Source organism: Homo sapiens, chromosome 17 (genome assembly GCF_000001405.40).
Source record: "Homo sapiens chromosome 17, GRCh38.p14 Primary Assembly".
Classification (NCBI taxonomy): domain Eukaryota; kingdom Metazoa; phylum Chordata; class Mammalia; order Primates; family Hominidae; genus Homo; species Homo sapiens.
In genome coordinates this window covers 43,123,751-43,145,749 of record NC_000017.11, presented here as the reverse complement: position 1 = coordinate 43,145,749, position 21,999 = coordinate 43,123,751, and the positions used below count along the sequence as shown (strand labels likewise).

General features: G+C 48.3%; 1 protein-coding gene, 1 long non-coding RNA gene and 1 pseudogene across 370 annotated transcripts in view, besides 40 other annotated features; 1 reads left to right on the top strand and 2 right to left on the bottom strand.

Moving 5' to 3' along the window:
* The window catches only part of NBR2 (neighbor of BRCA1 lncRNA 2), a 28,115-nt gene extending 7,922 nt beyond the window's left edge, over positions 1 to 20,193 (bottom strand). Inside the window, exons 1-7 of one of the 2 annotated variants that reach the window (NR_138145.1) lie at positions 19,980 to 20,193; positions 14,480 to 14,542; positions 13,027 to 13,151; positions 12,613 to 12,794; positions 7,390 to 7,594; positions 6,828 to 7,093; positions 3,174 to 3,293 (exon numbers count right to left, since the gene is read on the bottom strand). This is a non-coding gene — a long non-coding RNA (neighbor of BRCA1 lncRNA 2). Of the gene's footprint in view, positions 1 to 521; positions 1,023 to 3,173; positions 3,294 to 5,466; positions 5,935 to 6,827; positions 7,094 to 7,389; positions 7,595 to 12,612; positions 12,795 to 13,026; positions 13,152 to 14,479; positions 14,543 to 19,979 lie in introns of those variants that run through there. The other variant, NR_003108.2, reaches the window with a different exon arrangement.
* Positions 1 to 21,999, top strand: part of BRCA1 (BRCA1 DNA repair associated) — a 126,033-nt gene that overhangs the window by 24,578 nt on the left and 79,456 nt on the right. For 106 of the 368 annotated variants that reach the window (NM_001408451.1, NM_001407898.1, NM_001407881.1 and 103 more), the window contains exons 1-2: positions 20,386 to 20,473; positions 21,635 to 21,733. The exons of 1 other annotated variant lie outside the window; for it this stretch is intronic. In NM_001408451.1, coding sequence (NP_001395380.1) covers positions 21,654 to 21,733 — 80 coding nt within the window. In that variant the 5' untranslated portion in view covers positions 20,386 to 20,473; positions 21,635 to 21,653. Of the gene's footprint in view, positions 1 to 20,385; positions 21,734 to 21,999 lie in introns of those variants that run through there. 261 more of the 368 variants (NM_001407936.1, NM_001407849.1, NM_001407845.1 and 258 more) reach the window with 13 other exon arrangements.
* Positions 427 to 905, bottom strand: HMGN1P29 (high mobility group nucleosome binding domain 1 pseudogene 29; annotated as a pseudogene).
* Positions 18,194 to 19,007: an enhancer, noted in NCBI's record as "H3K27ac-H3K4me1 hESC enhancer chr17:41278760-41279573 (GRCh37/hg19 assembly coordinates)". NCBI's record gives its function as "activates a minimal SCP1, AML or CMV promoter by ChIP-STARR-seq in primed H9 embryonic stem cells {active_cell/tissue: H9 hESC(primed)}" and the evidence as "EXISTENCE:reporter gene assay evidence [ECO:0000049][PMID:30033119]".
* Positions 18,194 to 21,255: a biological region, named in NCBI's record as "BRCA1 promoter region". NCBI's record gives its function as "regulatory_interactions: BRCA1 | LOC111589216 | NBR2".
* Positions 18,588 to 18,611: a protein binding site, noted in NCBI's record as "Sp1-1". NCBI's record gives the evidence for it as "EXISTENCE:protein binding evidence [ECO:0000024][PMID:15252835]".
* Positions 18,645 to 20,401: a promoter, noted in NCBI's record as "-1714/+42 promoter fragment". NCBI's record gives the evidence for it as "EXISTENCE:reporter gene assay evidence [ECO:0000049][PMID:21668996]".
* Positions 19,014 to 19,031: a silencer, noted in NCBI's record as "18 nt h4 element". NCBI's record gives its function as "negative regulation of promoter activity" and the evidence as "EXISTENCE:reporter gene assay evidence [ECO:0000049][PMID:15777733]".
* Positions 19,056 to 19,085: a transcriptional cis regulatory region, noted in NCBI's record as "E-Box Y". NCBI's record gives its function as "mediates promoter activation by Myc" and the evidence as "EXISTENCE:site-directed mutagenesis evidence [ECO:0005528][PMID:21668996]".
* Positions 19,281 to 19,337: a protein binding site, noted in NCBI's record as "CTCF-1". NCBI's record gives the evidence for it as "EXISTENCE:protein binding evidence [ECO:0000024][PMID:15252835]".
* Positions 19,297 to 19,318: a protein binding site, noted in NCBI's record as "Sp1-4". NCBI's record gives the evidence for it as "EXISTENCE:protein binding evidence [ECO:0000024][PMID:15252835]".
* Positions 19,436 to 19,465: a transcriptional cis regulatory region, noted in NCBI's record as "E-Box X". NCBI's record gives its function as "mediates promoter activation by Myc" and the evidence as "EXISTENCE:site-directed mutagenesis evidence [ECO:0005528][PMID:21668996]".
* Positions 19,783 to 19,806: a protein binding site, noted in NCBI's record as "EBS". NCBI's record gives its function as "positive regulation of promoter activity" and the evidence as "EXISTENCE:protein binding evidence [ECO:0000024][PMID:23433111]".
* Positions 19,917 to 19,966: a protein binding site, noted in NCBI's record as "CTCF-2". NCBI's record gives the evidence for it as "EXISTENCE:protein binding evidence [ECO:0000024][PMID:15252835]".
* Positions 19,936 to 20,025: an enhancer, noted in NCBI's record as "active region_12235". NCBI's record gives its function as "activates an Ori minimal core promoter by ATAC-STARR-seq in GM12878 lymphoblastoid cells {active_cell/tissue: GM12878}" and the evidence as "EXISTENCE:reporter gene assay evidence [ECO:0000049][PMID:35858748]".
* Positions 19,992 to 20,015: a protein binding site, noted in NCBI's record as "Sp1-2". NCBI's record gives the evidence for it as "EXISTENCE:protein binding evidence [ECO:0000024][PMID:15252835]".
* Positions 20,076 to 20,205: an enhancer, noted in NCBI's record as "active region_12234". NCBI's record gives its function as "activates an Ori minimal core promoter by ATAC-STARR-seq in GM12878 lymphoblastoid cells {active_cell/tissue: GM12878}" and the evidence as "EXISTENCE:reporter gene assay evidence [ECO:0000049][PMID:35858748]".
* Positions 20,135 to 20,401: a promoter, noted in NCBI's record as "0.27 kb promoter; similar to L6 fragment from PMID:10773883 and -202/+20 fragment from PMID:10085126". NCBI's record gives its function as "bi-directional promoter" and the evidence as "EXISTENCE:reporter gene assay evidence [ECO:0000049][PMID:9261099, PMID:10085126, PMID:10773883]".
* Positions 20,142 to 20,150: a transcriptional cis regulatory region, noted in NCBI's record as "Nfe2l2/Nrf2 site". NCBI's record gives its function as "mediates positive regulation by Nfe2l2" and the evidence as "EXISTENCE:site-directed mutagenesis evidence [ECO:0005528][PMID:23353771]".
* Positions 20,150 to 20,190: a protein binding site, noted in NCBI's record as "HMGA1 site". NCBI's record gives its function as "negative regulation of promoter activity" and the evidence as "EXISTENCE:protein binding evidence [ECO:0000024][PMID:12640109]".
* Positions 20,151 to 20,177: a protein binding site, noted in NCBI's record as "Ets site". NCBI's record gives the evidence for it as "EXISTENCE:protein binding evidence [ECO:0000024][PMID:12637547]".
* Positions 20,155 to 20,179: an enhancer, noted in NCBI's record as "RIBS element". NCBI's record gives its function as "enhancer when multimerized" and the evidence as "EXISTENCE:reporter gene assay evidence [ECO:0000049][PMID:10773883]".
* Positions 20,155 to 20,182: a protein binding site, noted in NCBI's record as "BRIBS GABP site". NCBI's record gives its function as "positive regulation of promoter activity" and the evidence as "EXISTENCE:protein binding evidence [ECO:0000024][PMID:10773883]".
* Positions 20,155 to 20,182: a protein binding site, noted in NCBI's record as "BRIBS GABP site". NCBI's record gives the evidence for it as "EXISTENCE:protein binding evidence [ECO:0000024][PMID:10773883]".
* Positions 20,158 to 20,193: a protein binding site, noted in NCBI's record as "PRR; single stranded DNA binding site". NCBI's record gives the evidence for it as "EXISTENCE:protein binding evidence [ECO:0000024][PMID:12748281]".
* Positions 20,158 to 20,193: a protein binding site, noted in NCBI's record as "PRR; single stranded DNA binding site". NCBI's record gives the evidence for it as "EXISTENCE:protein binding evidence [ECO:0000024][PMID:12748281]".
* Positions 20,158 to 20,197: a protein binding site, noted in NCBI's record as "YY1 site". NCBI's record gives its function as "positive regulation of promoter activity" and the evidence as "EXISTENCE:protein binding evidence [ECO:0000024][PMID:21666725]".
* Positions 20,175 to 20,204: a protein binding site, noted in NCBI's record as "BRCREO AP-1 binding site". NCBI's record gives its function as "positive regulation of promoter activity" and the evidence as "EXISTENCE:protein binding evidence [ECO:0000024][PMID:17434164]".
* Positions 20,184 to 20,193: a protein binding site, noted in NCBI's record as "CRE; binding prevented by cytosine methylation". NCBI's record gives its function as "positive regulation of promoter activity" and the evidence as "EXISTENCE:protein binding evidence [ECO:0000024][PMID:11536045, PMID:11704836]".
* Positions 20,311 to 20,352: a protein binding site, noted in NCBI's record as "E2F A/B site". NCBI's record gives the evidence for it as "EXISTENCE:protein binding evidence [ECO:0000024][PMID:17106239]".
* Positions 20,311 to 20,352: a protein binding site, noted in NCBI's record as "E2F A/B site". NCBI's record gives the evidence for it as "EXISTENCE:protein binding evidence [ECO:0000024][PMID:17106239]".
* Positions 20,311 to 20,352: a protein binding site, noted in NCBI's record as "E2F A/B site". NCBI's record gives the evidence for it as "EXISTENCE:protein binding evidence [ECO:0000024][PMID:17106239]".
* Positions 20,311 to 20,352: a protein binding site, noted in NCBI's record as "E2F A/B site". NCBI's record gives the evidence for it as "EXISTENCE:protein binding evidence [ECO:0000024][PMID:17106239]".
* Positions 20,311 to 20,352: a protein binding site, noted in NCBI's record as "E2F A/B site". NCBI's record gives the evidence for it as "EXISTENCE:protein binding evidence [ECO:0000024][PMID:17106239]".
* Positions 20,312 to 20,334: a transcriptional cis regulatory region, noted in NCBI's record as "UP element". NCBI's record gives its function as "negative regulation of promoter activity in context of native promoter" and the evidence as "EXISTENCE:site-directed mutagenesis evidence [ECO:0005528][PMID:17663789]".
* Positions 20,312 to 20,334: an enhancer, noted in NCBI's record as "UP element". NCBI's record gives its function as "Gabpa-stimulated enhancer when multimerized" and the evidence as "EXISTENCE:reporter gene assay evidence [ECO:0000049][PMID:17663789]".
* Positions 20,312 to 20,351: a protein binding site, noted in NCBI's record as "UPFR6 GABP site". NCBI's record gives the evidence for it as "EXISTENCE:protein binding evidence [ECO:0000024][PMID:17663789]".
* Positions 20,315 to 20,338: a protein binding site, noted in NCBI's record as "53BP1 site". NCBI's record gives its function as "positive regulation of promoter activity" and the evidence as "EXISTENCE:protein binding evidence [ECO:0000024][PMID:15970701]".
* Positions 20,584 to 20,611: a protein binding site, noted in NCBI's record as "Sp/AP-1 site". NCBI's record gives the evidence for it as "EXISTENCE:protein binding evidence [ECO:0000024][PMID:18377656]".
* Positions 20,596 to 20,611: a protein binding site, noted in NCBI's record as "AP-1 (ERa binding site)". NCBI's record gives the evidence for it as "EXISTENCE:protein binding evidence [ECO:0000024][PMID:16229810, PMID:18377656]".
* Positions 20,596 to 20,616: a protein binding site, noted in NCBI's record as "AP-1/CRE". NCBI's record gives the evidence for it as "EXISTENCE:protein binding evidence [ECO:0000024][PMID:18377656]".
* Positions 21,055 to 21,090: a silencer, noted in NCBI's record as "36 nt BstNI/BseRI element". NCBI's record gives its function as "negative regulation of transcription" and the evidence as "EXISTENCE:reporter gene assay evidence [ECO:0000049][PMID:11313975]".
* Positions 21,232 to 21,255: a protein binding site, noted in NCBI's record as "Sp1-3". NCBI's record gives the evidence for it as "EXISTENCE:protein binding evidence [ECO:0000024][PMID:15252835]".

Here is a 21,999-nt window from a genome sequence, read left to right as displayed (position 1 = left end):
CTTAAAAAAAAGCATTTACACTTAAAAAATGGAATGAGGTGGGATTCCCTCCTTCTCAAAAATGTTTCTAGAGCTACTAAAAAACTTGCATTTACAAAATAGTTGATAAAAATATTCCTCTGGAGGCCGGGCGCAGTGGCTCACGCCTGTAATCCCAGCACTTTGGGAGGCCGAGGCGGGCGGATCACGAGGTCAGGAGATCGAGACCATCCTGGCTAATGCGGTGAAACCCCATCTCTACTAAAAATACAAAAAATTAGCCGGGCGTGATGGTGGGCGCCTGTAGTCCCAGCTACACGGGAGGCTGAGACAGGAGAATGGCGTGAACCCGGGAGGCGGAGCTTGCAGTGAGCCGAGATCGCACCACTGCACTGCAGCCTGGGCGACAGAGCGAGACTCTGTCTCAAAAAAAAAAAAAAAGAAAGAAAAAAAATTCCTCTGAATTGTAAAGAAGGGAGACAGGGACCACTGATAAGACATGGTCTATGGTATTCATCAGACTTGGCTTCTTTATCTCCTGCTTCATCAGAGGCTGGACTCTCCTCAGTTTTCGTTTCCCCTGTTTTCTGCAGGTAAATCTTCTTTAGTTTTTTGGTTAGCCACTTCGGCCTGTTTTCCCTTTGCTCCCCTTTTCCCTTTTTTTGCACTTTTGTGTCTGAAAATTTATCCTTCGCTGCTGCCTTTTTCGGCTTCGCTTCCACTTTTGCAGGAGGTTTAGCTGACAATTGCGCTGATCTCCTCTTGGGCTCTTCCATGGCAGCCCCTTCGGTGGAGCTGACCTTTTTCTTGGGCATCCTGGCAGCAGGGAAGGTGGGTGCCAGGTGCCTGCTGGCCGCGGTGTGCCTACAGCCTTCGCGAAGCTGGGCTGCCTGGCCGCTGCCACTCCTCCCGCCACCGGAGCTGCTCTCGCTATGTTGGCCAGGCTGGTCTCGAACTCCAGACCTTAGATGAACCACCTGCCTCGGCCTCCCAAAGTGCTGGGATTACAGGCATGAGCCACCATGCCTGCCCTCGGAGCTGCTCTTATTTTTCTTATATTAAAGAATATATATAACTAATTCTAGCCATGCAGTAAGACATTTAAATGTGTAGTTAAATATTTATGCATAAATAACAAGGGCCATCAGAAAGAAAAGCAGGACTGAAGCTGGCGGCCCACGCATCCACAAAGGCAGCAGGCAGAGGAAGCACAGGGCCATCTTTCCCTGCCTTGTTTCCCAGTCTAATTAGTCATCCAGACCTAAAAACATATCCTCAGAGGGTGGAGATTTTACAATTAAATATCGTTGTTCTTGGTGCCCTCTCCCCTGGTTCATCAAGTATAATACCACATACTTGACCTCCTGCCCACAGGGGACCTACCACCTCCTGGCCCCTCTCATAGGATCACTGGGCCTACCTGCACTGTGTGGCCAAGCCCTGTCTTTTTCCCAAGCCCTCAAGCCCATGCATGAATGTTCATTCAGACATGGTAGGGGGCTTTTCGCCCTTACAAGATGGAGGAAAATTCACTTTATTTTTTTTATTGAGATGGAGTCTCGCTCTGTCACCCAGGCTGGAGTGCAGTGGTGCAATCTCGGCTCACTGCAACCTCCGCCTCCCAGGTTCACGCCATTCTCCTGCCTCAGCCTCCCGAGTAGGTGGGACTACAGGCGCCCGCCAGCATGCCCAGCTAATTTCTTTTTGTATTCTTAGTAGAGACAGGGTTTCACCATCTTAGCCAGGATGGTCTCGATCTCCTGACCTTGTGATCTGCCCGCCTCAGCCTCCCAAAGTGCTGGGATTACAGGACTGAGCCACCGCACCCGGCCTGGTTTTTTTTATAATTTATTTTTCTTTTTAAAAATCCCAACCTTTGGATAGCAGGGAGGTGCTGGAGGGATAGGGTCAAGAAGAGTGTGTGAGAGCAGTAATTTCCCAAGACTGCCCTCTGCGGGACTGTATTTCAGAAAACATACTGGTGGGGCTACCTCTCCATTCACGTGTACTGCCCTAGCCTCTCCCCATCCCCCGCTGATGCACTTCCATAGATGCACTGTTCCATAACGGCAGCAGAATGCTGCAGAAGGCGCAAGGATTCCTCCACTCCATCTTCAAAAAAAAAGTCACTAATAAATCACATTTGGTAAGTTAGTGAACATGAAACACATTAGTGAGCAAAAGAAAATCTGAATGAACAAGAATTGGTAATCTACCTAACTGAACACAAATGAACGCTGGCAGTTCAGTAATAGGAAGTAAAGAACAGTGCTAACTGCAGAACAGCAGCACCCCCATCCCAGGAGCAGTGTGACTGGGAAGCAGCCCTGTGTGCGTGCTGTGGGGGTTCTAAGCAAAGTGAGCCGCCCATCGGTTTCCATGAGTTTGCTGATGTCAGACAAAAGACACCTGTTCTTTAGCTGCCTGCCCCAATTATCTCCCAAAGTTCCTTACTGAGAATGAAAAGTGTCTTTATCTGTGTGGTGACTTCAGTGGGCCAACAAATATTTGAGTCTAAAGCACAAGACTAGGCCGGGCATGGTGGTTTATGCCTGTAATCCCAACATTTTGGGAGGCCAAGGCAGGCGGATCACCTGAGGTTGGGAGTTCAAGACCAGCCTAACCAACATGGAGAAACCCGTGTCTACCAAAAAAAATAAAATAAATAAATAAATAAATAAATATACACACACACATATATATACATATATATATACACATATATACATATATATACACACATATATACATATATATGCACACATATATACATATATACATATATATATACACACATATATATACACACACACACACACATATATATATACACACACACACACACACACACACACAAAAATTAGCCGGGCATGGTGGCACATGCCTGTAATCCCAGCTACTCAGGAGGCTGAGGTAGGAGAATCACTTGAACCTGGGAAGTGGAGGTTGTGGTGAGCCAAGATCACGCCATTGCACTCCTGCCTGGGCAATAAGACTGAAACTCTGTCTTAAAAATAATTAAATAAAAAGTAAAGCACAAGACTAAATAGTCATAGGCAGAACAGCAGCTACCATTTACAATTTGCTTACTTGATGCCAAATCCTGGGTTAGGCATTTTACAGTCTTATATGATTTAGCCCAGCAATCCATGGAAGCATAGTTTTTAAAATCATCATCTGACAGATAAGGATACAGGGCTAGAAGGACGTAGGTGACCTGCCCAAGTGTCCAAGGCCACACATCCAAAACGACAAGTTACGGTTTTAAGCCAGCACTGTTAGGCTCAAAGCCTTGTAACCATTCCTCTGTCCGGCTGTAGGACATAGGGAGATAAAGGGGGATAAGCCATGGTTGCCATTGAAGAGTCAATAACAATAACATACGGATGGTGAGAATGATGGCAGCTGCTGTTTGTTGGGCACCAGCTGTGGTCAGGTACAGTGCTAAGCACTTTAATTACACTGTTAAGTCACCAGGACAGAAACTCCCCCACACCAGCTCTGTAATAGGGGTGAGTGTTGGACATAAGCAGGGAGTTGACAAGAAGCCAAGACTAGGCTGGGCACAGTGGCTCACGCCTGTAATTCCAGCACTTTGGGAGGCTGAGGTGGGTGGACCACCTGAGGTCAGGAGTTCAAGACCAGCCTGGCCAACATGGCAAAACCCCGTCTCTACTAAAAAATACAAAAATTAGCTGGGGATGGTCATGTGCTCCTGTAATCCCAGTTACTCAGGAGGCTGAAGCAGGGAGAATTGCTTGAACCCAGGAGACGGAGGTTGCAGTGAGCCGAGACTGGGCCACTGCACACCAGCCTGGGCAACAGAGCAAGACTCCATCTCAAGAAAAAAAGAAGCCAAGAGTAGAGATCCTTGCACTGCTGGGCTCCCAAAGTCTGGATTCCAAGCACCTCCAGGTTCCTATTTTGGCATATTTACATAATTTCACATTTTTATGCTAAATTTTTTTTTTCGGTCTGTCGCCCAGGTTGGAGTGCAGTGGTGCGATCTCGGCTCACTGCAAGCTCCGCCTCCCAGGTTCACGCCATTCTCCTGCCTCAGCCTCCCAAGTAGCTGGGACTACAGGTGCCCGTCACCACACCTGGCTAATTTTTTGTTTTTAGTAGAGATGGGGTTTCACCATGTTAACCAAGATGGTCTCGATCTCCTGACCTCGTGATCCGCCCGCCTCAGCCTCCCAAAGTGCTGGATTACAGGTGTGAGCCACCGTGCCCGGTGATAATTTTTTTTTATATAACAAAAAATTTTTTTATGTATCTCAAATGTGCACATTTTTCTTTTGAGACAGGGTCTTGATGTGTCACCCAGCCTGGAGTGCAGTGGTGCATTCATAGCTCACTGCAGCCTCAAGCTCTAGGGCTCAAAAGATCCTCCTGCCTCAGCCTCCAGAGTAGCTGGGGGTCTACAGGCATGCACCACCATGCCTGGCTACAATTCTTATTATTCCCCAATGCTACCCCAACCATATTTCTAAAAACTCCCAAAGTAAGATTCTATTTTGCCCAGTTTGTCCTCAATTGAGCAGTTTTGTCTGAGCCCAGAGTTTCTGCTGGGCCAGCCTGTGGATGAGCTGTCTCTCCCAGGCCGGTGCCCATCCCTGCCAGTAGCCTGGGAGGGGGAGGGGTGCCCAGGGTCAGGTGGAACAAAACATGACTGCCTAGGGCTGCCTCTGTCTCCATCTCACTGACGGCAAACCATAGCTCAGAGGGCCAGCTCTTAAGTGAGACCTGAGTGCCACAGAAAGGTGGACACAAGGCCAACAGCTACTAAATGAAAGAAAATTCTGATTCCAATGAAATCTGCCAGAGAAATAAAGCATTTTTTAAAGGATGATGAAATAAGGCGATGTCTGATTAGGGCAAACATGATGCAGACAGGAAATGCAGCAGTTCAGAGGAGGGAAGGTCAGGCCGCCTGGGGAGAGTCCATGAAAAAGATGGAACATGCCAGACGTTGTGCCTGGCGCTGGGAAAGAGTTGACTAGGACAGCATCCCTTTCCTCAAAGGGCTCCTAGACTAGGGAGAGGGCCGGACATCTGAATACATCCTGAGGAGACAGTGTGGGACAGCATGCTGGCAGTGGAGCCAGCCGTGGTTCTGCTCTTGGTCGGCTGGAAAGGAGTAGATATAAGGGATGGCTTAGAAGAAGGGAAGTGGAAGAAAAGTTTTCTGAGCAGAAAAGAGGAAGGAAAGGCCTTCTAGACAGGACACTACAAAGGCAGAGAAGCCCTAAGCAGAGTGAGCACCAGACTCCACAGGTTAAGGGCTCAGTCACACAGGACCGCCCTCACGTCAGACCCCAGGTGCAAGGCCAAGCATCACCTATGCATCTGACCAACTGGCTATAAATTGGAGGTCCCCACAACTCCCTCCTCAGGTTTGACCATTTGCTAGAACAGCTCACAAAACCCAGGAAAATAGTTTACTTACTATTGCTGATTTATTACAAAGGATATTTTAAAGGATACAAATGAACAGCCAGATGAAGAGATACACAGGGTGAGGTCTGGAAGGGTCCTTGTGGAGTTGGGGTGCACCATCCTCCCGGCACATGGATGTGTTCGCCAACCCAGCAGCTCTCCATGTCCTGTCTTTCAAGGATTTTTCTGGAGGCTTTGTCACGCAGGCATGATCGAGCTCCAGCTCTGCTCCCCACCCCAGAGGATGGGGAATGGGGCTGAAAGCACTAAGCTTCCAACCATAGTTAGGTATTTTTGGTGACCAGTCCCCAAATAAGGAGCCCACCAAGAGTCACCTCATGAGAACAAAGGACGCTCCTATCATGCAGAAAATTCCAAGGGATTTAGGAATCCTTGTGTCAGGAACCAAGGTGAAGGACCAAACGTTAGAACAAAAGATGTGCAATCATAAAAAAGAACAAGATCATCTCTTTTGTAGGAACACAGATGGATCTTGAGGCCATTATCCTCAGCAAACTAAGAAAGGAACAGAAAACCAAACACCACACGTTCTCACTTATAAGTGGGAGCTAAATGATGAGAACTCATAAACACAAAGAAGGGAACAACAGACACTGGGCCCTACCTGAGGGTGAAGGGTGGGAGGAGGGAGAGGAGCCAAAAAAACTACTGGGTACTGGCCAGGCACGGTGGCTCACGCCTGTAATCCCAGCACTTTGGGAGGCCGAGGTGGGTGGATCGCAAGGTCAGGAGTTCGAGACCAGCCTGGCCAAGATGGTGAAACCCCATCTCTACTAAACATAAAAAATTAGCTGGACGTGGTGGCAGGCACCTGCAGTCCCAGCTACTCAGGAGGCTGAGGCAGAAGAATGGCGTAAACCTGGGAGGCGGAAGTTGCAGTGAGCCGAGATCGTGCCTCTAGCCTGGGCAACAGAGCGAGACTCTATCTCAAAAAAAAAAAAGAAAAAAACTATCGGGTATTAGGCCTAGTGCCTGGGTGACGAAATAATCTGTACAACAAACCCATGTGACACAAGTTTAGCTATATAACAAACGTTCACATGTATCCCCTAATCTAAAATAAAAGTTAAAAAAAAAAAAAAGGAAAAAACACCTGGGAGAAAAGAAAAATGATAAATTTAAAAAAAAAAAAAGACAATGCTCCTAGCACCCCCATCTTTCAGGAATTTCCAAGGGTTTTAGGAGCTTTGTGTTAGGAACCGGGGGCAGAGACCAAATGTATATTTCTTCTTACGTTACACTACCCCAGATAGGAAAACAGAAATTACTCTAGATATTTCAAACAAAAAGGGGTTGTATATAGGCAATTAGTGCTTTTCATTGGAGGGGCTAGAGGTGGTGAAGGTTGTGGGGAGGGGGTTGTACCACTGGCTTTCAGGCTACTTTACCACAGCTGATTTCCAGAGGATGGAAGAAGTCAGGAAACTTGGGACACCGCTGCTGAGGTCCTTGCAGCCCCACGGTCCCCAGGCTGGTGACTGGTGGGGGAGTATGGAGTCCAGCTGACCACCAGAGCCTGCACGCCTGCTGCTACAGGGGAGGAAAGGATGACTTCTACCTCCTTTCCACATTCCAAATTCCACGTGACTACCTTTTATTGGCAGCACCCTGCTGGCAAGGGAGCCTTGATGTGTGCTTCCTGGGCTTCCAGCACCTGCACAGAAAGGGGTGAAATGAATGTCATGAGCAGCCACCACTCTGCAGCACAACTCCACATCCAGGCATGGTGGGGAGCCCTACTTATACTTGGAGGTGTCCTGGCACCCTACCCACTTTTGGTAGGTGTTTGGGTGTCCGAGGCTTTGCAAAAGAAGAAGGCATGGAGTCTACGGTGGAGTCACATGGTGGAGACCTAGCTAAGTCAGAGGCCTGGAGAGGTGTCATTCTAGCTGGGCAGCAGGTGACACACAACCATGCCCTGAGTTGATTGGAGAAACACCTGGGACCGACCTGGAGTTTGTTCTGGAATGTTTTCACTGGAATGAAAGCTGAGCGGTCCGCAGGCCATATAGTATCGGAGAAAACATAGCTCTCATTGAAAAAGGCTGCCAGAGAAAATGTGCCCGCAGGGAAGTTCAGGGGTTTTGTTTGTTTGGGTTTTTTCTCTTTTGCTTTTTTTTCCTTTTGAGATGGAGTTTCGCTCTTGTTGCCCAGTCTGGAATGCAATGGCACAATCTCAGCTCACTGCATCCTCTGCCTCCTGCGTTCAGGCAATTCTGCCTCAGCCTCCCTAGTAGCTGGAATTACAGGCATGCACCACCATGCCCGGCTAATTTTTGTATTTTTAGTAGAGACAGGGTTTCACCATGCTGGTCAGACTGGTCTCAAACTCCTGACCTCAGGTGATCCACCCGCCCCAGCCTCCCAAAGGGCTGGGATTACAGGTGCGAGACACCGCGCCCGGCCTATTTTGGGTTTTTGTTTTGTTTTGTTTTGGAGATGGTCTTACTCTGTCACCCAGGCTGGAGTGCAGTAGCATGATCTTGGTTCACTGCAACCTCTGCCTTCCAGGTTCAAATGATTCTCCTGCCTCAGCCTCCTGAATAGCTGGGAATACAGGTGCTCACCACCATGCCCGGCTAATTTTTATATTTTTTTGTAAAAACAGTTTCACCATGTTAGCCAGGCTGGTCTTGAACTGACCTCAAGTGATCCGCTCACCTTGACCTCCCAAAGTGCTGGGATTAAAGGCATGAGCCACTGTGCCCCGCCAGGAAATTCAGGTTCTGAAAATACACCTGTGGATCTCGAGCCTTGAACATCCTTGTATGCTGCTTTAAATGGCTGATCCTCAATGCCTCCCTTCCAACTCACACGCTCGCTCCCCTACATCAATCTCCCAGAAAAAGGGACCTCTTTTATTCTTTTTTTTTTTTTAATTATTATTATACTTTAAGGTCTAGGGTACATGTGCACAACGTGCAGGTTTGTTACATAGGTATACACGTGTCATGTTGGTGTGCTGCACCTGTTAACTCGTCATTTACATTAAGGATATCTCCTAATGCTATCCCTCCCCCCTCCCCCCACCCCACAATAGGCTCTGGTGTGTGATGTTCCCCACCCTGTGTCCAAGTGTCCTCATTGTTCAGTTCCCACCTATGAGAACATGTGGTGTTTGGTTTTCTGTCCTTGCGATAGTTTGCTCAGAATGATGGTTTCCAGCTTCATCCATGTCCCTACAAAGGACATGAACTCATCATTTTTTAGGACTGCATAGTATATTATGGTGTATATGTGCCACATTTTCTTAATCCAGTCTATCATTGATGGACATTTGGGTTGGTTCCAAGTCTTTGCTATTGTGAATAGTGCCGCAATGAACATACGTGTGCATTTGTCTTTATAGCAGCATGATTTATAATCCTTTGGATATATGCCCAGTAATGGGATCGCTGGGTCAAATGGTATTTCTAGTTCTAGATCCTTGAGGAATCACCACACTGTTTTCCACAATGGTTGAACTAGTTTACAGTCCCACCAATGGCGTAAAAGCGTTCCTATTTCTCCACATCCTCTCCAGCACCTGTTGTTTCCTTTTTAATGACTGACATTCTAACTGGTGTGAGATGGTATCTCATTGTGGTTTTGATTTGCATGTCTCTGATGGCCAGTGATGATGAGCATTTTTCCATGTGTCTGTTGGCTGCATAAATGTCTTCTTTTGAGAAGTGTCTGCTCATATCCTTTGCCCACTTTTTGATGGGGTTGTTTGATTTTTTATTGTAAATTTGTTTAAGTTCTTTGTAGATTCTGGATATTAGCCCTTTGTCAGATGGGTAGATTGTAAAAATTTTCTCCCATTCTGTGGTTGCCTGTTCACTCTGATGGTAGTTTCTTTTGCTGTGCAGAAGCTCTTTAGTTTAATTAGATTCCATTTGTCAATTTTGGCTTTTGTTGCCACTGCTTTTGGTGTTTTAGTCATGAAGTCTTTGCCCCTGCCTATGTCCTGAATGGTATTGCCTAGGTTTTCTTTTAGGGTTTTTATGGTTTTAGATCTTATGTTTAAGTTTTTAATCCACCTTGAGTTAATTTTTGTATAAGGTGTAAGGAAGGGGTCCAGTTTCAGTTTTCTGCATATGGCTAGCCAGTTTTCCCAATGCCATTTATTAAATAGGGAATCCTTTCCTCATTGCCTGTTTCAGTCTATCCAATTTTTAGATTTATTTCTCATTGTCTTTGTTAGAGACGGGCCTCACTTTGTTGCCCAGGCTGGTTTTGAACTCCTGTTCTCAAGTGACCCTCCCGCCTTGGTCTCCCAAAGTACTGGAATTACAGGCGGGAGCCCTGCGCCCGGCGAAGCCTGTATTAAGCCCTTTTATGCTCACTCTGCGGTACTGCAGAGAGCAGGGAGGAAGCAGAGGTGCCCTGGCATCTTCAGCTGGAGGTGAGCAGGGTGCTGAGGGTGTGAGAGGCCGGGCGCCTGGGGATGGGAGGCGGGACCGCATCTTCAAGGGGACGCTGCCACCCTACCCCAGAGGTCAGGGCCTCTCGCCCAGCTCTGGCTCTGATGTCCTGGAGGGAGGGAGATGCTGTTGCGATTCAGAAGATCAGGGGAGGGCCACCCCCATTCGAGAAGAGTGAAAATCCTGAGCCTGAAGCAGAAGTGGAATCGGTTGGAGCCGAGGCTTTAGAGGGTGGCGTTGGGAAGAGGGTCTGGCGCCGCCCTATGGACTGTTCGGGCTCACGAGGCTGAAGGCTCCGAAGACCGCGACCTGCGAACCATGGGAAGGTTCCACGCGGATGAAGGCTACAGCCCCGGCCAGAGACCCTACACTAGGCCTGGACTTCTCCACCGGCTTATGACATGATAGCTCAATAAGCTCCTTATTTAACGCACTGTTGTATCAGGTCCCTGTCGCAGCCACTGGCCCTATAGCCTAATAAAGGAGCGGGTGCATGCATTGGATTGGTGAGCTACCGCCACAGCAACGCGTCCTAATCAACCATCCCAAACGGCAGTTGGAAGAAAGTTCTTGCAGGCCTGTGCTTGGGCTTGAACGCTGGGCCGGCCGCTGCGCTCTGTGGCTCCCTGCAGGCCTGCGGATCGGCCAGGGGGCTCCGATCCTTTTGGACCGAGGCTGAAGCAACGGCTGCACCAGAGAAGGCCTTCTGGCTGAAGGTGGAAGTGCACGGGGTCCGCAGAACCGCCTAAGGCGTCTTCAGGCGTGGGTTAGGAACTAGCAGGCTCTCCTTTGTGCTTCATTCCATGGCCAGAGCAAGACACGTGGGCAAGCCCAAAGCCAGGGGCTGGGAAAGTACCCTCCACCCACAACGAAACCATGGCAAGGGGTGGGTGCATGTAGGGCTGAGGAATTGGGGCCAATAGTCTATCTATCCCGTGAGGAGACCTGCTGTGGGGGTTGCACAGCCTGGGTCTGCAAGCTTCACTGCCCTCGGCCTGGGCGTCCTGTGCTCCTTTGGCCTCTCTGGGTTAGGAAAGTATCCCTTTTATCTCTGCAAAGGTCAGAGTCCCAGTGTCTGCTTTCAAATATAAAACCAGCTATTGGGGGTATGACCCTGAACTGTATGAGGGCCGCCCTTTCAGTAATTCTCTCTCCAGGAGTGAGAACCTCCCTTTCTCAATTTTAGGTTAGATGGGTCTGAGTGTGTTTAGTGCAGTTCATGGTTGAGCAGGAAGATTAGAAATAAGGACATAGAGACAACTATTTTCTTGGTGTTAAACTCATTTTAAACAAAGTGGAAAGTAAAGGATTTAGTAGGGAAATCCTTTCACCTTGGCAAAAGTATAGTCTATCTGGTCACAACTGCCACAGCATGATCCTTGGTGGCTTGGCACAAGCATTCCCTGTCCTCCATCAAGCCCATAATGTCCCTCAGTAATTCCACTGCATTTTTTTTGCAGCTGCTGTGTGCTGGAGCTGTGGGGAACCCCTCGGTAATCTCTTGTCTGCTTTTTAGGAACTCCTATCTCCAGATCTTCTTTTACTTCCCAAGCCACCCCACTTCTTTGAAAGGTCTGCAGGCTTGTCTACCTCTTCTCAGCTTGCTCTGCATGCCTTGGGGAAGCTCTTAAAGCATGGATCATGAAGGAGGGGGGCGGAGGAGAGGGAAATGCATGTTTCCACAAATGGACCATGAGCCCACCAGGCAGGCTCTAGATGGGGAAAAAAACCCCTTACATTATCATGTGACTTGTACAAGAAAAAAGGTACCTGCAAAGGGTCAAGGGACCAGAGAGGAGAACTTGAGAGGTATTCTGGAGGAGGCGACTTTTGATGTGAGCTTTCTAGGTGAGTAAAGGGCATTGTAGATGAAAGGACTGGCTGGTAAGTGGCCAGCAGATAGAAATACAGGCTGAGCTCAGGGGAGGGTACACCCAGAGGTGGGGAGGAAGGTAGGAAGTGAAAAAGGAGGCTGGGCGTGGTGGCTCACGCCTGTAATCCTAGCACTTTGAGTGTCCGAGGCAGGCGGATCACTTGAGGTCAGGAGTTTGAGACCAGCCTGGCCAACATGGTGAAACCCCATCTCTACTAAAACTACAAAAATTAGCTGGGTGTGGTGGTGTGCGCCTGTAGTCCCAGCTACTCAGGAGGCTAAGGTATGATAATTGCTTGAACCCGGGAGGCGGAGCTTGCAGTGAGCGAAGATCATGCCACTGCACTCCAGCCTGGGTAACAGAGTGAGATCCTGTCTCAAAAAAAAAAAAAAAGGAAGTGAAAAAGGAAAGGGAGAAGGCCAGAATGGAAAGGAGCTAAAGACAGACTGAGCAAGGCAGAGTTGGAGGCCAGCGCAGGAAGGGCTCAAAACATTTGCAAGGACAGTTCACATCCCACTGGTATGTCAGCTTAGATTTAAAGCACTACCCAGAGTTATTCAAAGCCAGACAGGAGAACTGCAGGCATCAGAATGCCCTGGGGACGGGTCCAAAATGCAGAATCCTAAGCCCCTAAAGAGTCACTCTACGATGAGATCCAAGAATTTGGGCTGGATCCCACTTCTCCTGTCCCCTGCCCTCACCACTGAGGACCTAAAGCATAATAAAAGGGGACAATCTCTGCCCTAAATAATCCCTTTTGGCAGTTACTTTCTGTTTTCAAACTTCAAATCTGTCCTCTGGGACTAACCTAGGAGATGAGGGATAAGGGAATTAACATTTATGGAAAATGGAGGAACCCACATAGGCACCTGTGTTCACCTAATATTCCTTACCAAGCAGTGGGTGCTGCCATTATCTCCATTGTATGGATGAGAAAACAGGCTTAAAAGAGGTTAATCGACCAGGTGCGGTGGCTCACGCCTGTAATCCCAGCACTTTGGGAGACCGAGGACAGCGGATCACGATGTCAGGGGATCGAGACCATCCTGGCTAACACAGTGAAACCCCGTCTCTACTAAAAATACAAAGAAAAAAAAAAATTAGCTGGGCGTGCTGGTGGGCGCCTGTAGTCCAAGCTACTCAGGAAGCTGAGGCAGGAGAATGGCGTGAACCCGGGAGGCAGAGCTTGCAGTGAGCCAAGATCGCGCCACTACACTCCAGCCTGGGCGACAGAGCGAGACTCCATCTCAAAAAAAAAAATAAAATAAAATAAAGAAAAAAAGAATTAGCTGGGCATGGTTGCGCACGTCTGTAGTCCCAAGCTACTCGGGAGGCTGAAGCAGGAGAATTGCTTGAACCCGGAGGCAGAGGTTGCAGTGAGCCAAGATCACGCCACTGCACTCCAGCCTGGTGACAGAGCGAGACTTCGTCTCTAAAAAAAGAAAAAGAAAAAGGAAAAAAAAAAAAAGAGGTTAAGTAACTTGGGCGGGGGCGGCCAGAGCCACAGAACTAGTAAGTGATAGAAGTAGGATTCTCACCTAGTTCTTTCTGATGCTAGTTGGAGAGGCAGCTTTGTTCAGTGGGTTTTAGAGCCAGGGCTGCTTAGGTTTGGATCTCACCTCTATCCCATATTATTTGCTGGGACTTCCTTAAAACAGTGTGGGGCTCAGGGCAACCCAATGAGTATGGGGCTAAGACAGCTGCCACCGAGTCAGCATTTTTCACAGGCCCCTCGAGATAGCACTGAAGACAGAAATTTCTAAATTGAATTTTATTGATGTTCAGGAAAGAGAAGTCAGTCACAACCCCCCTTGGCCCTCAGCCCCAAGCAGAGAGCCCAGAGTGTGTGACCTCAGGCAAGTACCAAAACCTCTCTGTGCCTCAGTTCCTCATCTGTAAATTGGGGCAAATGTCAGTTGATGTGAGGATTAAATATGATGATATCCTGGCTGGGCACAATGGCTCATGCCTGTAATCCCATAACTTTGGGAGGCTGAGGCCGCTGGATTGCTTGAGGCCAGGAGTTCAAAACCAGCCTGGCCAACATGGTGAAACCCCATTTCTACCAAATATACAAAAATTAGCCAGGCATGGTGGTGCATGCCTGTAGTCCCAGCTACTTGGGAGGCTGAGGCACAAGAATCGCTTCAACCCAGGAAGCAGAGGTTGCAGTGAGCTGAGATTGCGCCACTGCACTGCAGCCTGGATGACAGAGTGAGACTCTGTCCCAAAACAAAAAGAAAAGCAAAGCAAAGAAAGAAAAGGAGAAAAGAAAAGAAAATAAAAAGCTGATATCCTTTTTTTTTTTTTGAGACGGAGTCTCGCTCTGTCACCGAGGCTGAAGTGCAGTGGCACGATCTCGGCTCACTGCAAGCTCCGCCTCCTGGGTTCACGCCATTCTCCTGCCTCAGCCTCCCAAGTAGCTAGGACTACAGGCGCCTGCTGCCACATTTGGCTAATTTTTTGTATTTTTAGTAGAGACGGGGTTCAATAAAATGAAGCGAAATGGGGATGAAACATAATGAACCACAGCAGTTTTCTGTCCCTACTGTTCCCACCCTTCTGGGGAGCAAGATTTCAATGGAATCTTCTGGTGCTTCTCCCGACATCTCTTGCATGTCTCATTGTTTTTATTATTATTATTATTATTTTGAGACACAAATGAGCTAAGCGCTACTTCGAATTATTAAAGCCCATATCACTGGAGAAATAAGATCCCTATTCTGAACACCTAGCAATAAGTACCATAATATACTTTACCTCTTCATCTTCCTCATCCAGGTATTTTATTTTAATACTATTCAGATCAAATGAAACTTTTACCTACAAAAGAAATACACATTTAAAGGCAGGTTATAATGTACATAGAAGTCAAAGGATGAGTTGGGCATATTTCATTACATACTAAATATTTTATATGGTTAAAAAAATCCACAAAATCAGAAGACAACAAACAACCATCACAACCCACAGCAAAGGGTTAATATCTGCAACACACCCAGAGTATCAGCAAAACTGCTAATGATACAATTAACAACCCAGGAAAAAGTATACATAAAATTCATAGAAGAAGTCAGAACACCTAACAAATACCTCAGAAGACTTTCAAACTTTCTGGTGGTCAGAACAATGCAAATTGAAAGCAATGAAATGTCATCTAATCAGAACAGCAAATTGTGTGTATGTGTGTGAGCACAAAAAATGGGAAGACTTGGGTTCTAGACACAGCTCTGGCCCATTACTAGACATAAAACTGTGAGCAGGTCAGTTCACCTTTGAGCTTCAGTTCTTTAATCTGTAAAATAGGTCTAATATGTCTGTTTTGCCGATCTCACAGTGTTACCATAAGGATCAAATTAAAAATGAATATGCAAGTTCTTTCAAAATGTCATTCAAATATAAAAATATTATAATACAGGCCAGGCACAGTGGCTCATGTCTGTAATCCCAGGATTTTGGGAAGCAGAGGCAGGCAGATCGCTTGAGTCCAGGAGTTCGAGACCAGCCTAGCCAACATGGTGAAACTTCGTCTCTAATAAAAATACAAAAATTAGCTGGGTGTAGTGGCGCAGGCCTGTATTCCCAGCTACTCAAGAGGCTGAGGCAAGAGAATTGCTTGAATCTGGGAGGCAAGGTTGCAGTGCGCCAAGATCATGCCACTGCACTCCCGCCTGGGTGATAGAGCGAGACTCTGTCTCAAAAATAAAATAAAAAATTGGCCCGGTGTGGTGGCTCATGCCTGTAATCCTAGCAATTTGGGAGGCTGAGGTGGAAGGATCGTGAACCTAGGAGTTGAAGACCAGCCTGGGCAACAAAGCCGGACCCTGTCTCCTTAAAAAAATTAAGTTCAATTAAACATTTTTAAAAATAATAAACCAGTCATTAGAACCATAAACCTGTACTGTTTTTGACAATGTAATGCACTGCCCTGTAAAACACTACAATTAAGACTGTTATTTTAAGGACCCTGAAGTCTGTGAAGATCAGGCACTTTTTTGAAACCCTAAGATAATTATCCCCCAGTTTTCTCCATTCTTTGTTTCTACCTAGAACCAAGTTCACCACCAAAACGCAGTCCTGCTGACGTCAAGTATTCATTCATATGACATGTAATTACTGGGGTCGTTAAAATTTGGGCAGAATCTTTGTCAATTCACCAGGACCTTAGGCAAAAAATCAGGAAAATGAAGTGACTGACTCAGTCTGCCAAAAGCGGATATTCTGAAATACCACTTTCCAACTTTAAGAAACACTTCCTGCCAGGTGCGGTGGCTCACGCCTATAATCCCAGCACTTTGGGAGGCCGAGGAAGGCAGATCACGAGGTCAGGAGATCGAGGTCATCCTGGCTAACGCGGTGAAACCCCCATCTCTACTAAAAACACAAAAAATTAGCTGGGCGTGATGGCGGGTGCCTGTAGTCCCAGCTACTCGGGAGGCTGAGGCAGGAGAATGGCGTGAACCCGGGAGACAGAGTTCGCAGTGCACTAGCCGCGATCGTGCCACTGCACTTCAGGCTGGGCGACAGAGCGAGACTCAGTCTCAAAAAAAAAAGAAAAAAAAGAAACACACTTCCCTACTCGTTAGGGAAATTAATCTTCGTCTCTTTTTCTCAAATTACACAATTGGAAATTAATTTAGATATTCTGGAGCTCCTCCAGCTGGTGGGCCAACTAAGAGAAAACAGGAAGTGGGAGATTCTAGCTTAGCTGGACCATATCCAGGTCTCCATAAGGAACTCTCTTTGGCTGGCATGTAAAAAAATTCTTTCAGCAAGAGCATTAATCTTGAACGTGTGTAAACACGAAAGCTATGGTTAACCCTACCTGCTCCTTAGGTCTACAGCCAGTAGAGTCAGATAGCTGGGTCCTAGGCCTTCAGCTTTCATAATTGACATTATTGTTAAGTCCATGTGACTGACTCACCTTGTCTTGGCACAAGTTAGCTTTTCCTCCACATCGATTTTTTTTTCTTTCAGCCTCAACAAAATCCCTTTAATGAAACAAACCTGGCAACCCGAACTTTGGTTACTGTCTCCACCAGAGGCCTGTACAAGCCAAGTTATCCAAGCTGAGGCCGGGAGTGGTGGCTCATGCCTGTAATCCCAGCACTTTGGGAGGCCAAGGCAGGAGGATCGCTTGAGCTCAGGAGTTCAAGACCAGCCTGGGCTGGTCTTTGAGAAAGCGAGACTTTGTCTCGAAAAAAAAAAAAAAAGTGTGGCCTGAAAGTTGAGTGTTTGACAAAAAGGAGAAACAGTGCCTTTCCAAAACCAAAGGTCCCTAACCAAGATCTCTTTAACGGGGTCTCGAAAAAAGGAGAATGGGATGAGAAGGATATATGGGTAGTGTCATTTTTTAACTTGCAGATTTCATCCTAGTCTTCCAGTTATCGTTTCCTAGCACTCCATGTTCCCAAGATAGTGTCACCACCCCAAGGACTCTCTCTCATTTTCTTTGCCTGGGCCCTCTTTCTACTGAGGAGTCGTGGCCTTCCATCAGTAGAAGCCGGATGTTCTTGTGTCCGAAATTGGTGGGTTCTTGGTCTCACTGACTTCAAGAATGAAGTTGCGGACCCTCACGGTGAGTGGTACAGTTCTTAAAGATGATGTGTCCAGAGTTTGTTCCTTCTGATGTTCGGACGTGTTCAGAGTTACCTCCTTCTGGTGGATTCGTGGTCTCGCTGGCTTCAGGAGTGAAGCTGCAGACCTTTGCGGTGAGTGTTACAGCTCTTAAGGCGGCATGTCTGGAGTTTGTTCGTTCCTCCCGTCTGGAGTTGTTCATTCCTCCTGGTGGGTTCGTGGTCTCGCTGGCTTCAGGAGTGAAGCTGCAGACCTCTGCGGTCGGTGTTACCAGCAGATAAATGCTATGCGGACCCAAAGAGTGAGCAGCAGCAAGATTTATTGCAAAGAGCACAAGAACAAAGCTTCCACAGCGTGGAAGGAGACCAGAGCGGGTTGCTGCTGCTGGCTCAGGCAGCCTGCATTTTTTTTTTTTTTTTTTTTTTTTTTTGAGATGGAGTCTCCCTCTGTCACCCAGGCTGGAATGCAGTGGTGCAATCTGGGCTCACTGCAAGCTCCGCCTCCCGGGTTCACGCCATTCTCCTGCCTCAACCTCCCCAGTAGAGGGGATTACAGGCACCCACCACCGCACCCAGCTAATATTTTGTCTTTTTAGTAGAGTCGGGGTTTCACTGTGTTAGCCAGGATGGTCTCGATCTCTTGACCTCGTGATCCACCCCTCTAGGCCTCCCAAATTGCTGGGATTACAGGTGTGAGCCACTGGCACCCAGCGGGGCAGCCTGCTTTTATTCCCTTATCTGACCCCACCCACATCCTGTTGATTGGTCCATTTTACAGAGAGCTAATTGGTCCGTTTTGACAGGGTGCTGATTGGTGCATTTACAATCCCTGAGCTAGATATACACAGAGTGCTGATTGGTGCATTTACAATCCTCTAGCTAGACATAAAAATTCTCCAAGTCCCCACTACATTTGCTAGACACAGAGCACTGATTGGTGCGTTTACAAACCTTTAGCTAGACACAGAGTGCTGATTGGTGCATTTGCAAACCTTGAGCTAGACACAGAGCACTGATTGGTGCATTTACAATCCTTTAGCTAGACACAGAAGTTCTCCAAGTGCCCACCAGATTAGCTAGATACAGAGTGCTGATTGGTGCATCCCCAAACCCCAAGCTAGACACAGAGTGCTGACTGGTGCATATAAAATCCTCAGGCTAGACATAAAAGTTTTCCAAGTCCCCATCTGACTCAGGAGCCCAGCTGGCTTCACCTAGTGGATCCTGCGCAGGGCTGTGCCGGGCGCCTGCACTCCTCTCAGCCCTTGGGCAGTCGATGGGACCGGGCGCTGAGGAGCAGGGGGCGGTGCCCGTCGGGGAGGCTCAGGCCACGCTGGAGCTCACAGGGGTTGGGAGGGGGCTCGGGCATGGCGGGCTGCAGGTCCTGAGCCTTGCCCTGTGCAGGGCGGCTGGGGCCCGGTGAGAATTCAAGCGGGGTGCAGGCGGGCCGGCAGTGCTGGGGGACCCGGCGCACCCTCTGCAGCTGCTGGCCCGGGTGCTAGGCCCCTGACTGCCCGGGGCCGGGGGTGCGGGGCCCGCTGAGCCCGCGCCCACCTGGAACTCGCGCTGGCTGGCGAGCGCTGCGCGCAGCCCCAGTTCCCACACCCGCCTCTCCCTCCACACTTCCCCGCAAGCAGAGGGAGCCGGCTCTGGCTTCGGCCAGCCCAGAGAGGGGCCCCCACAGCGCAGTGGCGGGCTGAAGGGCTCCTCCAGCACGGCCAGAATGGACGCCAAGGCCGAGGAGGCGCCGAGAGCGAGCGAGGGCTGCTAGCACGTTGTCACCTCGCATTCTGAACCACAGACTCTCCAACTCTCCGGCGCTTTTCGCCCACTCGGTCCCTCAGAACACGAAGGGCTCTCTCATCCTGTCACTAAAACGATTAGCTGTCCGGAGACACGGAAAAAGTCGCCCCTCTTCTTTGCAGGATTCCTCCCTTGAACTTCTCCAAACCCTCTTAGTGTGACGTGACCCCACCCCTAGCTAACCCAGGCTGCTTCCTTACCAGCTTCCCGCCCCCTGGGGAGGCGGCAATGCAAAGACCGTCCGCTGCCAGCTCTGCCGCTATCTCTGTGGGGTGAATCTAACATGGCGGACAAAGACAGTAACTAGTCCCGTTTCTCCGCGTTTTCGCCAAGAAGATTGGCTCTTACCACTTGTCCCTCAAAACGACCACCCCATTGACTGGTGGCGATTGCGTCGACGGAGACGGGGCAAAAGCAAGCTGAACCCGAAAAATAACAAACACTGGGGCTGAGGGGTGGAACTACGAGTGCGCAGACATGGGCCAGAGCGCATTTCCCCTGCCCCAGGCAAATTCGGCGCTCACTGCGTCCCCGCAGGCCACTGACCTTACAAGACTACTTGCCCCAGACTCCTGGGGCTGGATGGGAATTGTAGTCTCCCTAAAGAGTTGTACGTATCTTTTTAAGGCCTAGTTTCTGCTTTCAAAATACGAAAACATAACACTCCAGTCCATAACTGTTGACAAGTACAAGCGCGCACAGGTCTCCAATCTATCCACTGGATTTCCGTGAGAATTGTGCCCGCTCTGGTATTGGATGTTCCTCTCCATAAGACTACAGTTTCTAAGGAACACTGTGGCGAAGACCTTTCATTCCGCAACGCATGCTGGAAATAATTATTTCCCTCCACCCCCCCAACAATCCTTATTACTTATATTTACCGAAACTGGAGACCTCCATTAGGGCGGAAAGAGTGGGGGATTGGGACCTCTTCTTACGACTGCTTTGGACAATAGGTAGCGATTCTGACCTTCGTACAGCAATTACTGTGATGCAATAAGCCGCAACTGGAAGAGTAGAGGCTAGAGGGCAGGCACTTTATGGCAAACTCAGGTAGAATTCTTCCTCTTCCGTCTCTTTCCTTTTACGTCATCCGGGGGCAGACTGGGTGGCCAATCCAGAGCCCCGAGAGACGCTTGGCTCTTTCTGTCCCTCCCATCCTCTGATTGTACCTTGATTTCGTATTCTGAGAGGCTGCTGCTTAGCGGTAGCCCCTTGGTTTCCGTGGCAACGGAAAAGCGCGGGAATTACAGATAAATTAAAACTGCGACTGCGCGGCGTGAGCTCGCTGAGACTTCCTGGACGGGGGACAGGCTGTGGGGTTTCTCAGATAACTGGGCCCCTGCGCTCAGGAGGCCTTCACCCTCTGCTCTGGGTAAAGGTAGTAGAGTCCCGGGAAAGGGACAGGGGGCCCAAGTGATGCTCTGGGGTACTGGCGTGGGAGAGTGGATTTCCGAAGCTGACAGATGGGTATTCTTTGACGGGGGGTAGGGGCGGAACCTGAGAGGCGTAAGGCGTTGTGAACCCTGGGGAGGGGGGCAGTTTGTAGGTCGCGAGGGAAGCGCTGAGGATCAGGAAGGGGGCACTGAGTGTCCGTGGGGGAATCCTCGTGATAGGAACTGGAATATGCCTTGAGGGGGACACTATGTCTTTAAAAACGTCGGCTGGTCATGAGGTCAGGAGTTCCAGACCAGCCTGACCAACGTGGTGAAACTCCGTCTCTACTAAAAATACAAAAATTAGCCGGGCGTGGTGCCGCTCCAGCTACTCAGGAGGCTGAGGCAGGAGAATCGCTAGAACCCGGGAGGCGGAGGTTGCAGTGAGCCGAGATCGCGCCATTGCACTCCAGCCTGGGCGACAGAGCGAGACTGTCTCAAAACAAAACAAAACAAAACAAAACAAAAAACACCGGCTGGTATGTATGAGAGGATGGGACCTTGTGGAAGAAGAGGTGCCAGGAATATGTCTGGGAAGGGGAGGAGACAGGATTTTGTGGGAGGGAGAACTTAAGAACTGGATCCATTTGCGCCATTGAGAAAGCGCAAGAGGGAAGTAGAGGAGCGTCAGTAGTAACAGATGCTGCCGGCAGGGATGTGCTTGAGGAGGATCCAGAGATGAGAGCAGGTCACTGGGAAAGGTTAGGGGCGGGGAGGCCTTGATTGGTGTTGGTTTGGTCGTTGTTGATTTTGGTTTTATGCAAGAAAAAGAAAACAACCAGAAACATTGGAGAAAGCTAAGGCTACCACCACCTACCCGGTCAGTCACTCCTCTGTAGCTTTCTCTTTCTTGGAGAAAGGAAAAGACCCAAGGGGTTGGCAGCAATATGTGAAAAAATTCAGAATTTATGTTGTCTAATTACAAAAAGCAACTTCTAGAATCTTTAAAAATAAAGGACGTTGTCATTAGTTCTTTGGTTTGTATTATTCTAAAACCTTCCAAATCTTAAATTTACTTTATTTTAAAATGATAAAATGAAGTTGTCATTTTATAAACCTTTTAAAAAGATATATATATATGTTTTTCTAATGTGTTAAAGTTCATTGGAACAGAAAGAAATGGATTTATCTGCTCTTCGCGTTGAAGAAGTACAAAATGTCATTAATGCTATGCAGAAAATCTTAGAGTGTCCCATCTGGTAAGTCAGCACAAGAGTGTATTAATTTGGGATTCCTATGATTATCTCCTATGCAAATGAACAGAATTGACCTTACATACTAGGGAAGAAAAGACATGTCTAGTAAGATTAGGCTATTGTAATTGCTGATTTTCTTAACTGAAGAACTTTAAAAATATAGAAAATGATTCCTTGTTCTCCATCCACTCTGCCTCTCCCACTCCTCTCCTTTTCAACACAAATCCTGTGGTCCGGGAAAGACAGGGACTCTGTCTTGATTGGTTCTG